Here is a 14,096-nt window from a genome sequence, read left to right as displayed (position 1 = left end):
TTTGGGAGACTGAGGCAGGCAGATCACTTGAGGTCAGGATTTCGAGACCAGCCTCGCCAACATGGTGAAACCCCATCTCTACTAAAAATATAAAAAATATTCGGGCGTGGTAGCGCATGCCTGTGATCCAGGTACTCGGGAGACTGAGGCAGGAGAATCACTTGAACCCAGGAGGCAGAGGTTGCAATGAGCTGAGATGATGCCACTGCACTCCAACCTGGGCAGAAGAGTGAGACTCCATTCAAAAAAATTGCAAAGTATCTACTAATCTAAAAAATGCACAGCCTCAGTTCTCAAAGAGTTTATGTTGTAGGATCACGTCAGTTCCATATATAATTTGTTTATCACAACTGCACACTGTTACTGAATCTGAAATGCTTCAAAATCTGAAAGTTTTGAGCACTTACATGATGCTCAAAGGAAATGTTCATTGGAGCATTTCAGATTTCAGATTTTCAAATTAAGGATACTCAACTGGTAAGTATAATGCAAATATTCCAAAATCTGAAAAATATCCAAAATCCAAAATACTTCTGGTCCCACGCATTTTCGATAAGGGATACTCAACAAGTATTTTAAAAGATCAAAATAAGGGTAAGAGAATATGGATATTTAGGCTTATGGTTACTTACATGGAACAGTTGAGGCCATTAAAAAATGTCTAAGACATAGGCAGTGGAAGGCTGAATTCAAGAAAAAGTCTCAGAGCTGAGGAAACAAAGAACCTATGAGGTTAAGGTGTTAAATGAGCCAACCACATGAGTGTGAAAGGGAGGCCAAATGAGAAAATGATGTTGCTTGGGTGTAGAGGAAGTTCTGGAATAAATGTGGCAGTTGTTAGAAGACATTATAGTTAGAAGACATTATAGTTAGATGGATAGACAGTAAAGAAGGGGCTTTTGTATTAAAATAGAGGAATAGTGGTTGGGAATAGGAAATATGGAGCTAAAATTATGCCAACCCACTTCTATTAAATAAATTCTATGACACCTTAGCCTTTGGGAAAATGACTAGCCTTCAGTGGAGCACATGTCAAGGGAAGCATTGTCCCCATATAGATAGCTGAATTTTAATTAAAGCAAAGAAATGGAGTCAATGTCCTCTAATGAGGTTTCCAGAAGTCACATTGAAAATATTTGGGAGGGAGGGAAGATTGATTCAGAAGTAAAACACAGAGCAGTATGGAGATATGACACTGGAGAGCATAAATGAGTCGAGTTTTCAAAAAAATAGAACAAAATTTTTTGAAGTCAGTTGCCTATTAGCTTCCCTCACAGTTCTTAGGGAGATATAACTGAAGGCCTCCAAAGAATTTGTGTCTGTCCATAAGGTACAGAATAAATTTATTTCAAAGATCTCCTCCTCCCAGAGTTGATTATTTGACTTAGGGCAAAAGACTGAATGTAAATAGTAGCGAAACTGTCTCTGATATTATTGTAAGGAATAAAATAATTTTGCTTTGTAAATAAAATAGAATATTTTCTAGAGAGAACTGACCCAAACTCAATTTTAGGACTGGTCCTGAAATTCAGAAATGCCTTTCCCATATTGCCTAACTGTGCCTTTTTCACTGGAAAGAAAGTGCTGCCTTCAGGGAGCACGCCTCCGCAGAGATCAGTAAAATCAATGAGAAATGCAATGTCCATTTGTCAGTAAAGACATCTGAAGTTTGATGGGTTTCTTGGGACTGGATAACTAGTTAAAGATTCTAAAGAAAAATTAAGTGGGGCATAGAAACCAAAAATCTCAAGAGATCTTTGAAGAAAGAAACATGAAAAATGAGGACAAATTTAGAGAAATGTTGCTGGCATAGATGTTAACTTCCAGAAGAAGATGGAAATAGACTACCATGCAAAACAAAAAGACAGAAGAGAATATTAGCACTCTGTTGCAAAGGAGAATAGGTATGCTCTACTGGTAAGTATAATGCAAATATTCCAATATCTGAAAAAAATCCCAAATCCAAAATACTTCTGGTTCCCTGCATTTTGGACAAGGGATACTCAACAGGTATTTTAAAAGATCAAAATACAGATCACAGAATATGGATATTGAAGAATATGAGCAAACGAGAGTAAGAAAAAATGTTGGAGGACTTTTAAAAATGTATAAAGGAATTAATGAATGCAATTAGTATTATTTTTTAAATCAGTCATTAATAGCCACTCGCCATGATTGCCAACCCCTTTGATGAGTACTAATTTCAAAATTATTAAGGAAAGGCAAATATTTAGATTCATACAGGTTAAAAGAAAATATTTTCAAAATTTCAAATTTAAGCTTATAAATGTTCTAATCTACTTTTGAATGTGTATTCGTGACCCAAGATTGGTTTTTTCCAGGCCCCATCATTCTAATGACTTTTTTTTTTTTTTGAGACAGAGTCTCTCTCTGTTGCCCAGGCTGGAGTGCAGTGGTGTTATCTCGACTCACTGCAACCTCCACATCCCAAGTTCAAGCAATTCTCCTGCCTCAGCCTCCCGAGTAGCTGGGACTACAGGCACATGCCACCATGTTCGGCTAATTTTTTTTTTCTTTTTTTTTTTTTAGTAGAGACAGGGTTTCACCATGTTAGCCAGGATGGTCTCGATCTCCTGACCTCATGATCTTCCTGCTTTGGCCTCCCAAAGTGCTGCGATTACAGGCATGAGCCACTGCACCCAGCCCAGAGTTTTTTTTAACAAGGTTCTTCTCAGCAATTCTAGTATCCAGATATAGGCCCATCATAGACATCACACAAGCGTGTACTTCATAATCCTGGTGAATACAGAAGTTTCCTGGACTCCTTGATGAGCTACTGCTTTCGCTCCTATATCAGTGTTTTCAGCTGATGTCATTTGTGATTGTGTTTCTGACTTTCTGTAGGCAGAAAAAAACTTTCATTTTTTTTGCTTACATGCACATAAATGTAAGCGCTAATTCTTATATTAAACTGTTTATTTCTATAATACTTAATTGGCTGTTTTCCTGGCTGAACCAAACCAAGAGCATAAGGGATGATAACCTTCAAAACTGATTAAATTAGAGATCAATAAATGGAGCTGTTTTAATTCTATTATTCTTCTTTCATAGATGAAATAGAAAATTTTTGTAGATAGTTTTTCTTCGCTGTCTCTTTGGTTACCATGAGGTACTGCTTGTAGTGAAAAGGTAGAATAAATACGTGATCCTTTCCCTTTATTTACCATTTTCTATTTATCAGTTACTCTTTTATTTGCCAGTTTTCTAAGTAGCAATATGGTTTCCTAAAATCCTAGAAAGTACTTGAAGAAATTAAAAATGGATTGACTTTTTAAAAATTAATTTTGGGAATTATTCTCCTGACTCTTCTCAGTCTGATGAAATTTTTCTGTAAGATGTTGTATTTTTAAGTACTAGAATTTTTTTTAAAGTTTTTATCTCTGCTGAGGCTTCACATCTGTTTTCTCAATTTTATTTTTATTTCAATCCTTGAGCATGTTTATAATATAGTAGTATCCCCTTATTGTGGCTTTACTTTCCTCACTTTCAGTCACCCACAGTCAAAAAATATTAAATATAAAACTCCAGAAGTAAACAGTTTATAAATTTTAAGTCACACCTTGTTCTGAGGAATGTGATGCAACCTCCCGCCATTCTGCTGTATCCAGTTCAGGATGTGACATACCCCTTTGCTCAGCAGATACACAATTCCTGCTTCCTGCTCATTAGACATTTGCAGCTGTCTAAGTTATCAGATGGACCTATCTCAGTATCGCAGTGTTTGTGTTCAAGTAACCCTTATTTTACTTAATAATGGTCTCAATATGCAATAGTGTTGATGCTGGCAATTCAGATATGCAAAAGAGAAACCTGAAAGTGCTTTCAGTAACTGAAAAGCAGAAAGTTTTGCACTTAATGAGGAAAAAGATATGCTGAGATTGCTAACATCTAGGGTAAGAACTATTCCTTTATTGGTACAATTGTGGAAAAGGAAAAATAAATTCTTGCTAGTTTCGCTTTTGTACCTCAAACTTCAAAAGTCACAGACACAGTGTGTAGTAAGTGCTAATGTAGGGTTCGGTATTATCCATGGTTTAAGACATCCACTGGAGGCCTTCCAAAGTATGCCCCACAGATAAAGAGGGAATACTGTAGTCTTTTTATGCTAATTCCAATACCTGCATAATGTATTTATTCTATTGACTGCATGCTTTAACATCATTATAAGCTCAATGATTTAAACATATAAGGTGTGCACCTGCTCATTGCAGTCATCATCATCATCATCATCATCATTATTTTGGTTTGTTTGTTTTTGAGACAGATCTTGCTTTATGGCCCATGCTGGAGTGCAGTGGCATAATCACAGCTCACCGCATCCTCAGACTCCTGGGCTTAGGTGACCCTGCCACCTCAGCCTCTCAAGTAGCTGGGACTACAGACACAAGCTACCATGCCTGGCTAATTTTTTGTTTTCTATTTTTGGTAGACAGAAGGTTTTACTATGTTGCCCAGGCTTGTCTTGAACACCTGGGCTAAAGCAATCCACCTGCCTTGGCTTCCCAAAGTGTTGGGCTTACAGGTGTGAACCACCGTGCCTGGCTTGTGGTCATCAATATTATTGATGCTTATATTAGTTCATGTTTGGAGAGTGGGACTTCCTTCAAGTTGCCTCTTGGATCCTATGGACACGATCCTAGGGGGTATAAAAGTGTCCTTGCATTCCAGTATGACGAGATGCTCTAGATTGATTTTGCACATTGCCTGCCTGCAGCCAGAAAGCAGCCATTTCTCCAAGAAGCTTTGGTTCCTTTTAGTGAATGATGACATGGAGAATCCAAAGTTATGGCACCAAGGTGCTTTCTGCTTCTGTTTTATTTAATGCTTCCAGGACTTTTCAGTGGATAAGTCTAAAAGATAAGTGTATTTTTTTAAAAAATTTATAACTTTTAAACAAACCTTTAGGTTAACAGTCTTGATTAGAGGATTTTAATTATGCTCAGAGATATTACATCTGTATCTTCTTCTATTTCATTAGAAAAGTACCAGTTTTCAATGTCACACCCATAATGAGATGGAGTCTAGCTCTGTCACCCTGGCTGGAGCGCAGTGGTGTGATCTAGGCTCACTGCAACCTCCACTTCCGGAGTTCAAGCAGTTCCCTACCTCAGCCTCCAGAGTAGCTGGGATTACAGGCAAACTCCACCACACCTGGCTAATTTTTGTATTTTTAGTAGAGACGTGGTTTCACCATGTTGGCCAGGCTGGTCTTGAACCACTGACCTCGTGATCCACCCACCTCGGTCCCCCAAAGTTCTGGGATTACAGGCATAAGCCACCGCGCCCGGCGCTTTTTTTTTTTTTTTTTGAGACGGAGTCTCGCTCTGTTGCCCAGGCTGGAGTGCAGTGGTGCAATCATTCTCCTGCCTCAGCCTACCGAGCAGCTGGGACTATAGGCACGTGCCACCATGCCTGGCTAATTTTTTGTATTTTTAGTGGAGACAGGGTTTCACCGTGTTAGCCAGGTAGGTCTTGATCTCCTGACTTCGTGATCCACCCGCCTCAGCCTCCCAAAGTGCTGGGATTACAAGCATGAGCCACCGTGCCCAGCCCCATAACTACTCTCTTTTTTTTTTCTTTTTCTTTTTTTTTTTTTTTTTGAGACGGAGTCTCACTCTGTCAGCAGGCTGGAGTGCAATGGCACCACCTCGGCTCACTGCAACCTCCACCTCTGGAGTTTAAGCAATTCTCCTGCCTCAGCCCCCTGAGTAGCTGGGACTACAGGCACATGCCACCACGCCCAGCTAATGTTTGTATTTTTAGTAGAGAGGGGGTTTCACCATGTTGGCCAGGATGGTCTCAATCTCTTCACCTTGTGATCTGCCCATCTCAGCCTCCCAAAGTGCTGGGAACTAATCATTTTTTTAAAATCCTGCAATATAAGACAAACCAATAGCCTAAGACTAAAAATACAGCCTTCTGAAAAATAATAAGCAATCTGAGATTATTTTTGTGCATTATTTTGTTCTTAGGCTATATTTCATCATGAATATACAGTCATATTATTGCTTTTTAAAGTCAGTGTAATTCTGATTGACAGATGACATAAATATATTGATTAGAAAATAAAATATGATTTTCCAACCATTCCTAGACAGTGTTCTAACATGATTAACTTTAATTGCCAGAAGTAAAAGCTTTTATTTTACATGATTACACTTCATTGTACTAGAACATATCACAATCTCTATTTCCTTGAGACAAACAGTTTCCCTAATATGGTATTATAAAACTGTTTAAACATATAAAAATGTTGTGGGAAGTGCATATTTATAGTCCAACCACTTAGATTGTACAATTATCATTTTGTTATATTTGCTTTACTACATATCTATCACTCTATCCACCATTCTATCCAATTATCAACTCACCGTTTCTTATTTATGTCAAAGTATATATTTTTCTTACATACTTAACATATGTAGCATTATTGTTCAGTATTTGTGTACAGCTCATTTTTTTTAAGTTACTAAGGTTTTTTATTAACACCTCAGAGTAGAGGTTATGAAAGGACCCTGAATTGTTCCAGGAATTTTCTTCAGTGAGCATTTGTGAAGACTCGGGGATCAAGGTTGGGTTAAACTTTGTGATGGGTCCATTGGCAGTCTAGTCACAAGCACCTCCTCGATCCTTAGGTCCCAGCGGAAAATGATGCCAGACTCTTAAACTGCCACAAGGTAGCCTGGAAAGAACTCTACAGTCCAGAAAGAGCCTGGAAAGTGGTTTTGTGAGATGAAATTTACTCCTGGTGAAAATGCTGTGAATATTGTTTAGCCTACAACAAAGGATTTAGAATATTGATAAACATAGTAAAACAGTGGCAGGGTGTGAGAGGACTGACTCCAATTTTGAAAGAAGTTCTACTATGGGTAAAATGCTTATCAAACAGTATCGCATGGTACACTGAAATCTTTCGTGGAAGGAAGAGTCAGTTAATGTGGCAAATTTCATTGTTTTCTTTTAAGAAATTGTTACAACCACTTCAATATTCAGCAACCATCGCCCTTATCAGGCAGCAGCCAACAACATCAAGGCAAGACCCTTCACCAGCAAAAAGACTAAGACTCCCTGAAGGCTCAGGTGATCATTAGCATTTTCAGCAATAAAAGATTTTTATATTTTTTCTTTGTTTTAAATAATTGAGCTTCAAGTAAGGGCAGCAAGTAGTTTTTCTTCTTTTTCTTTCTGTTTTTCTTTTTTCTTTTCTTTTTTTAAAGACGTGTTTTGCCATGTTGTCCAGGCTGGTCTTGAACTCCTGAATTCAAGTAATCAACCTGTCTTGGCCTCCCAAAGTGATGGGATTACAGGTATGAGCCACCGAACCCAGCCAGCATCAAGAGTTTTAAAATTAAGGACATAACGCCATTTCACACTTTAAATAGACTATAGTGTAGTGTAAACATAGCTTCTTTTTTTAAATAGAGACAGGATCTCCCTATATGCCCAGGTTGATCTCACAATTCCTGGGCTCAAGTGACCCTCCCGCCTCCGTCTCCTAAAGTACTGGGATTATAGGCATGAGCCATCACACCCAGCCAATATAACTTCATATTCACAAGGAAACAAAACAATTTGTGTGACTCACTTTGTAGCAATATCTGCTTTATTGTGGTGGTCTCGAATCAAATCTACAATATCTTTGAGGTATGGCTGTACTTTCTAAGCATTTCCTGAGTCAGCCTACTGTTTCTCCATTTTTATTGTCACTATTCTATCTATTTTTTGTTTTGTTTTGTTTTGTTTTCTTGTTGTTGTTTGGAAACAGGAACTTGCTGTGTCACCCAGGCTGGAGTGCAGTAGCACGATCATAGCTCACAGCAGCCTCGATCTCCTATGTTGAAACCTTCCTCCTGCCTCAGGCTCCTGAGTAGCTGAGACTACGGGTGCATGCTACCACACCTGGCTCATTTTTAAAAAGATGTTTTTAGAGATGGGGTCGCATGATGTTGCCCGGGCTGATCTGGAACTCCTGGCCTCAAACAATTATTCCACCTCAGCCTCCTGAGTAGCTAGGGTCGATCCATTGTTGAAGAGTACATGGATGTTACTTTGCAGACTGTCAACCTGAATTTGTATTTGCTTGACATTGCCTAATTATTAGTTTCAGTGTCAGCTTACCCACTTTTTGTCTGCAACATGCAGAAGAGACAGTGCCCTTTTTAGTGTATCATATCAGGAATCATCTCACATTGGTTTGTGCCATTACTGGTGCAGTGACTTTCAGCCACTTGGGTAAGGTGGAGTTGGCCATATGTCTCCACTGCAAAATTACTGATTTTCCTTTTGTAATTAATAAGTGCGTGTGTGAAGATTCTTTGAGATGAGGTATATATCTCACTCTTCATCAAACTATAAGTTTTTTTAAGTAAAAGAAAATTTATTATGAAACTAAAGGAATAAAAGAATGACCACTCCATAGGCAGAGAAACGTCACTTTAAGGTTTTGACATCAATTGATTTTTGTCCAAATCAATAATTACTGCAATGATTGAAAAATGATTATTACTAAGTTTGTTTTCATTGTCTCAAGGTCTGCTGAACTCTGGATCCAGGCTGTGTCAACAGGGTAGTGTGGTGCCTCCTGTACCTGTCTTGGCCTCCTACAGTCCTTTTTACTTATTTTGTTTTTTAGAATAGAGACAGGGTCTTACTATGTTGCTCAGACTGGTTTCAAACTCCTAGGCTCAAGCCATCTTCCAGCCTCAGCCTCCTAAAGTGCTGGGATTACAGGCATGAGCCACCACACCCGGCCAAGTTCTTTACCATCTTCAGAAGGCTTAGCTTGCACTTTTGGAAGAAGAATAGACTCCCAGGAAGACTGTGAGAGAGATTTGGGGCCCAAATTGATATTATCAAATACACTGAACTTGACTGTATTCACCATGTTCTGGCTCTTGAGAAATGAGAGTGCTAGTGAGGCTGGTGCCACTTTGTGTATCTTCTGTACCTTGAAGTCCCTCAGAAACCTTGCCCCTGGTCTTCTCTGGTCTTCTCATTCTAAGGACATAACAGGTTCTCTTTTTCTCTGGAGATGAAATCTAGATCTTTGATTTTGGAACCAAATTTGGACTCTTGACTCTGAAGCACCAATTTCTTCAGCAAGTTGTTCTCTGGAATCAATCCCAGGGTATGGGTTTTTCATAAATGCATGGATGACTGTGTGTAATTGAAAGGTGCTATAGGTGGTACAACACCATCTGGCTTCTCTATTTTGAAACTCCACACCAGGTTAATCTTGTCCATGGCTGTGGCTTAAATCTAAAGTCAGGTTCTGGTGTTTTCTGGAATCCATGCCTAGCTCTTTGATTCTGAAACCAAATCTGGATTCTGGACTCTTCTGCATTGATTGCTAAAGCAAGTTTTTGTTTGGTAGCATAACCTGGGTAAGGTTTTTGAGTGAAGGTATTGATGAGGATTTTCAATTGATCTTCTGTGAATTTGGTGCAATTGCACCTATGATTTGTTGCTACCATCTTGTGTGAAGAGGGGTCTTCAACTATGCAGAAAGAGAGTTCTGGAGGCTGAGCTACTGTCTGGGAGACTGCTTACAGCTCATTTTTTAAAAAGAAAGGTCACATATAATACAATATAAAATTCACAAATCTAAAGCTTATGGTTTTCTGGGTTTTGACAAATGAAAACTCCTGTGCAACTTCAAGCCTTACCAGGATATGGATGAGGGTTTCTATCCAAAAGCACCAGTATTCTAACAAACAACTTTACGTTTTTTGAATTGTCCAGTGCCTGTGAGGATTCCTTACTCCAAGTTTATGACAAACATATTCAGAAGGCATAGTCTACAATTAGTGTTTGGGTAAGTATTTTCATCAATTGTCTGATTATTTGCTGTGAATTTGAAGTATGCTGATTCTTATGTAATTGTCTTCTGAGAAACATTGTGCCATTTTTCTTGTGGAAACCACCTGTAGAATAAACAGAAATTATGAACGCACAGAGTTGGTTGTGATGGGCACGTCTACCTGTGGCTGCCATTTAAGTGGAAGGTGGAATCCGACTCTGGAGCATCGGCAGCCTGAGCTGCTGCTGGGCTCACACTGACCCTGGGAGTGCTCTATGCATGCTTCACCTTATGAGGGGTGCAGAAGGAACAAAAGTAGAAAAGTGTGCTCTACTTTCATGTGTTACCAAAGGACAGAGGACACTACCAAGGATTTAGAAAACTGTTAAGTGAGGATTTATTCTTCTTAATAGCCTTTCAAGCAAGGAATTTGAAAACAAGATTCTACTCATCCCACACCAAAATGTAAACAGATATATTATTTTCTATACTCCCAGGATAATTTTGGTTTTACTTAAGCATCACTATCGCCCTCAAATGTCAAGTGGAAAAATAAATGTGAATAATCCCACCACTAGCCTCCAGACTTGATGTTCATGCTATTTCGTTTTTAAAATGACCTTTTAAAAGTTATAAATTAGAAACGTGGAAGTAGAATGGCTTCATGCAAGAAATACTGGAATAAGATCCCTGTTCTGGTCCCAGAGTCTTAGACAAGTCATTCAGCCTTTCTAAGCATCAGTTCTCCCTTCAGGAAAACATGGGCATTCATCTCTACGGGAGCTGCTAGCTCTAACTGTCAGTGAGTTTCTGAAACTTGCCCAGGAAGGAGCAGCCCCAGTGTGAGTGCATGCCACCCCTGTGCTTGCCTTTTGCCTGCTTCTTATCCTTGAGGTAGCCTGCAGGCTTCTCCTCATTCATCTCCTAAGCCAGTGCTATCTGACGGCACAGAATATGTTTCCAATTCTGGTCTCATCTGAAATACATTTTTCGTGGAAGAAAGATTACATCTATGACCTGCAAAGCATTATGCTCCTCTCTGTATTCCGGATCTTGTGTTATTTTTTTAATATGGGAAAATTTATGATTTTTTTTTTCCTGAGATGGAGTTTTGCTCTTGTCACCCTGCTAGAGTCCAATGGCATGATCTTGGCTCACTGCAACCTCTGCCTCCTGGGTTCAAGCGATTCTCCTGCCTCAGCCTCCCGAGTGGCTGGGATTACAAGTGCCTGCCACCACACCTGGCAAATTTTTGTATTTTTAGTAGAGATGAGGTTTCACCATTTTGGCCGGGCTCATCTTTAACTGCTGACCTCAGGTGATCCACCAGCCTCAGCCTCCCAAAGTGCTGGGATTACAAGCATGAGCCACCGCTCCCAGCACGATTATGTCTTTTTATATGAGAAAAATTTATTGAGATCATAAGGAAAAAAAAATCCCTGAGCCAAAAAATGTCAACCAAGAAGAAAAAGAAAGTGAGAAGTAAGAAAAATATGTATTTTAGAGAAAGTGAAGTGGGCATAGCAATCACATTGAAATCTGGGTATAGAACAACCTTCATCTCTAAAATTTATATTTAGTCAACCACTATGCTAAGCAAGGTTGTGGTAGGAATACCTGCCACCTATTTTAGGCCACATGTCTCTTACGGGCAAAAAGTAAAGCAAAGCCATAATTGTGGTTCGATATTTTGGATGTATTAATTCTCATTTCAGCATTTGCATAGTCTCACATTTTGGAAAACAAAATTGTGGTGATTTCACTTGTCTCTCCATATCATGATTATATTCAAAACTAGGAAACAAACGTAGACTAAAGAAGCAAATACTAAAGAGTGAGATCATGCAGGTTAAACAGATACTCTTTCTCAGGGAAAAGTCATTTACCCATCATGAGCTGATATACTGTTGTGAGTTTATATGGTTTAGTGTATTTACAACTTAACTAAGTATACATGATTCACTGTGTACTGTAGAATATAATTAAATTGACATTTGCTGGTACGGAATAAATTTGCACATCAGTGAAATAAATGATGAAAATAAATAAAGTCTGAGGCCAGATAATTCCATTGGTTACCAATTTATGTCTTCAGCTCTACACCAAAGCAAACATTTGTACTGGTTCTTTTTTTTTTTTTTTTAGTCACGCTGTACTTTATTTAAAGGTGGCCATAGCATTAAAGTGTGAATTCATTTTGTACAACCAGAAATGGAAAAGGAGTCAGTCAAGGTGGGGCAGAAGTTTCTAACAAAGTCTAAAGCATAGTTTTATATAACTAATAATAAGGACACAATGTTTAGCTTACTTAATTCCCAAACTGAGGTCACTAAAACTTAAGAATATCTACCAAAACTTAAGCAAAATCTCAGAGAGAAACTTTAAAAATAACATTTTATTTTTGATCATTCAAAATGTTTCAATCAATATTCTGAGCCTAAACGTGTAGGTGAGTGCTTTCTCCATCTTTGCACATGTGAAGTGCGCCTGAACCATAGCCCCACATTTTCTCAAACACCATCACACTCATAGAACAGAAAGGAAAGGGCAGTTTCACCAGCTAGCCCCCATAAACCACTCCCTAGGGTCCTCCCCAGCACCTGCTAAATTTGGGAGGCCTGATTCCAGGGGGCTGGATAATGAGCTGGCAAAATAAACCCAGAAGAATCGTAATTGCAGACAAAGATAAACTCAGGTTCCAGCACAGATAGACAGCCCATACCAGTGCTTTTGATATTAGCTGCAGTTAAGCGGGCAGGAAAGGCTCCCACTCTATGGCCGGTGGTGTGGTCAGCTCAGCGCCGCCACCTCGGCAGGCTCCATCCCACCATCACCCTCCCAATCAGGCTGATAGTGTCTCCTTATGCCAAGTGGAAGGAACTGCAATCAAATTCTGACACGACCTGCAAATCCTCCAGGGCCCTGGGCTACTGGTTAGGCCAGTAGGGCTGTGTATCAACCGATTAAACCAATTAATAACTGGCAGCACAGCACGGCCTCCTTCTCAACAAATTACGATGCTGATCCCCAGACTCGGCCATCCATGCCCATGGTCTATTGTTCTTACGCTTTCAAAACGCCTCCCCTGCTTCATGCTTTCTAGTCTTGAGGACTTGGCTTAAATATGCTTCTGAATTGCCACTCCCTCTTGTTGACAATTCTTCTTTTTTTTTTTTGGGAGACGGAGTTGCTCTTGTCACCCAGGCTGGAGTGCAGTGGCGCCATCTCTGCTCACTGCAACCTCCGCCTCCCGGGTTCAAGCAATTCTCCTGCCTCAGCCTCCTGAGTAGCTGGGATTACAGGCATCCACCATCACGCCTGGCTAATTTTTGTAGCAGAGACGGGGTTTCACCATGTTGGCCAGGCTGGTTTTGAACTTCTGACCTCAAGTGATCCGCCCCTCTCGGCCTCACAAAGTGCTGAGATTACAGGCGTGAGCCACTGCACCCGGCTGACAGTTCTTTACACCGTTCTCCAGTTGGGGCGGAGTGGGAGACACCACGGAGCCTACCTCTGCAGGAGGCACAGCTTGGCAGAAGGGAGACACCAGCCAGAGGAAGGATGCATTTTAGGCACCGAACTTTAGGTAAAGCGCTCTGGGTCAGGGGTCTCCTCCAGAGTGGTCTGTTTAAAGTTAAAAAGGTCGCCTTCAAAATAGTTGTAAAATCTATACACTTACCCAGACATACACATTTTTCGAGACAGGGTCTTGCTCTGTCGCGAAGGCTGGAATGCAGTGGTGCAGTCGCAAGCCATCTTCCTGCCTCAGCCTCCCGAGGAGCTGGGACCACAGGCCCGCACCACCACACCCGGCTAATTTCGTTTTCTGTTTGTTTTATTTTCGTTTGTTTGTTTTGGAAGGATGGAGTCTGACTGTGTTGCCCAGGCTAGTCTCGAACCTCTGGACTCAAGGGATCCTCCCTCCTCGGCCTCGCCAGGTGCTGGGGATTAAGGCTTGAGCCTCCACACCCGGACCTATTAATTATTCTTAATTAAAACATTTAAAGGACACAGCATTTGGGGTCAGCACAGCATTTGCAGTGGCTGCTCCAGCTTCGGGTCCGCAGGTCACCGCGGGGGCCCGGTGCCTACTGGCCCGGCCGCCCTGCGGGTTAGCTCATGGGGATTCTCTGGAGAACCCTGAGCCCACCTCCTGCGCCCCGCCCAACCTTGGGTCCCCAGGCCCAGCCTCCGAGGCCCCGCTCCCAGCGCTGCCGCCAGAGCTCCAGGCTGCGCTCCCCCAGGCAAAGGCGCCACCGGCGTGTCCAGCGCAGCC

General features: G+C 40.7%; 1 pseudogene across 1 annotated transcript in view; it reads right to left on the bottom strand.

Annotated features, from left to right (window-relative positions):
• Positions 1-8,651: 8,651 nt before the first annotated feature.
• Positions 8,652-14,096, bottom strand: part of DUXAP8 (double homeobox A pseudogene 8) — a 42,481-nt pseudogene continuing 37,036 nt past the window's right edge. Inside the window, exon 8 of the transcript NR_122113.1 lies at positions 8,652-9,944. The product of NR_122113.1 is annotated as a double homeobox A pseudogene 8 (transcript). The remainder of the gene's footprint in view (positions 9,945-14,096) is intronic.

This window comes from Homo sapiens, chromosome 22 (assembly GCF_000001405.40).
Source record: "Homo sapiens chromosome 22, GRCh38.p14 Primary Assembly".
In the NCBI taxonomy this organism is placed as follows: Eukaryota; Metazoa; Chordata; class Mammalia; order Primates; family Hominidae; genus Homo; species Homo sapiens.
The sequence above is the reverse complement of the archived record's forward strand: the minus strand, read 5'-3'. Positions and strand labels throughout refer to the sequence as shown.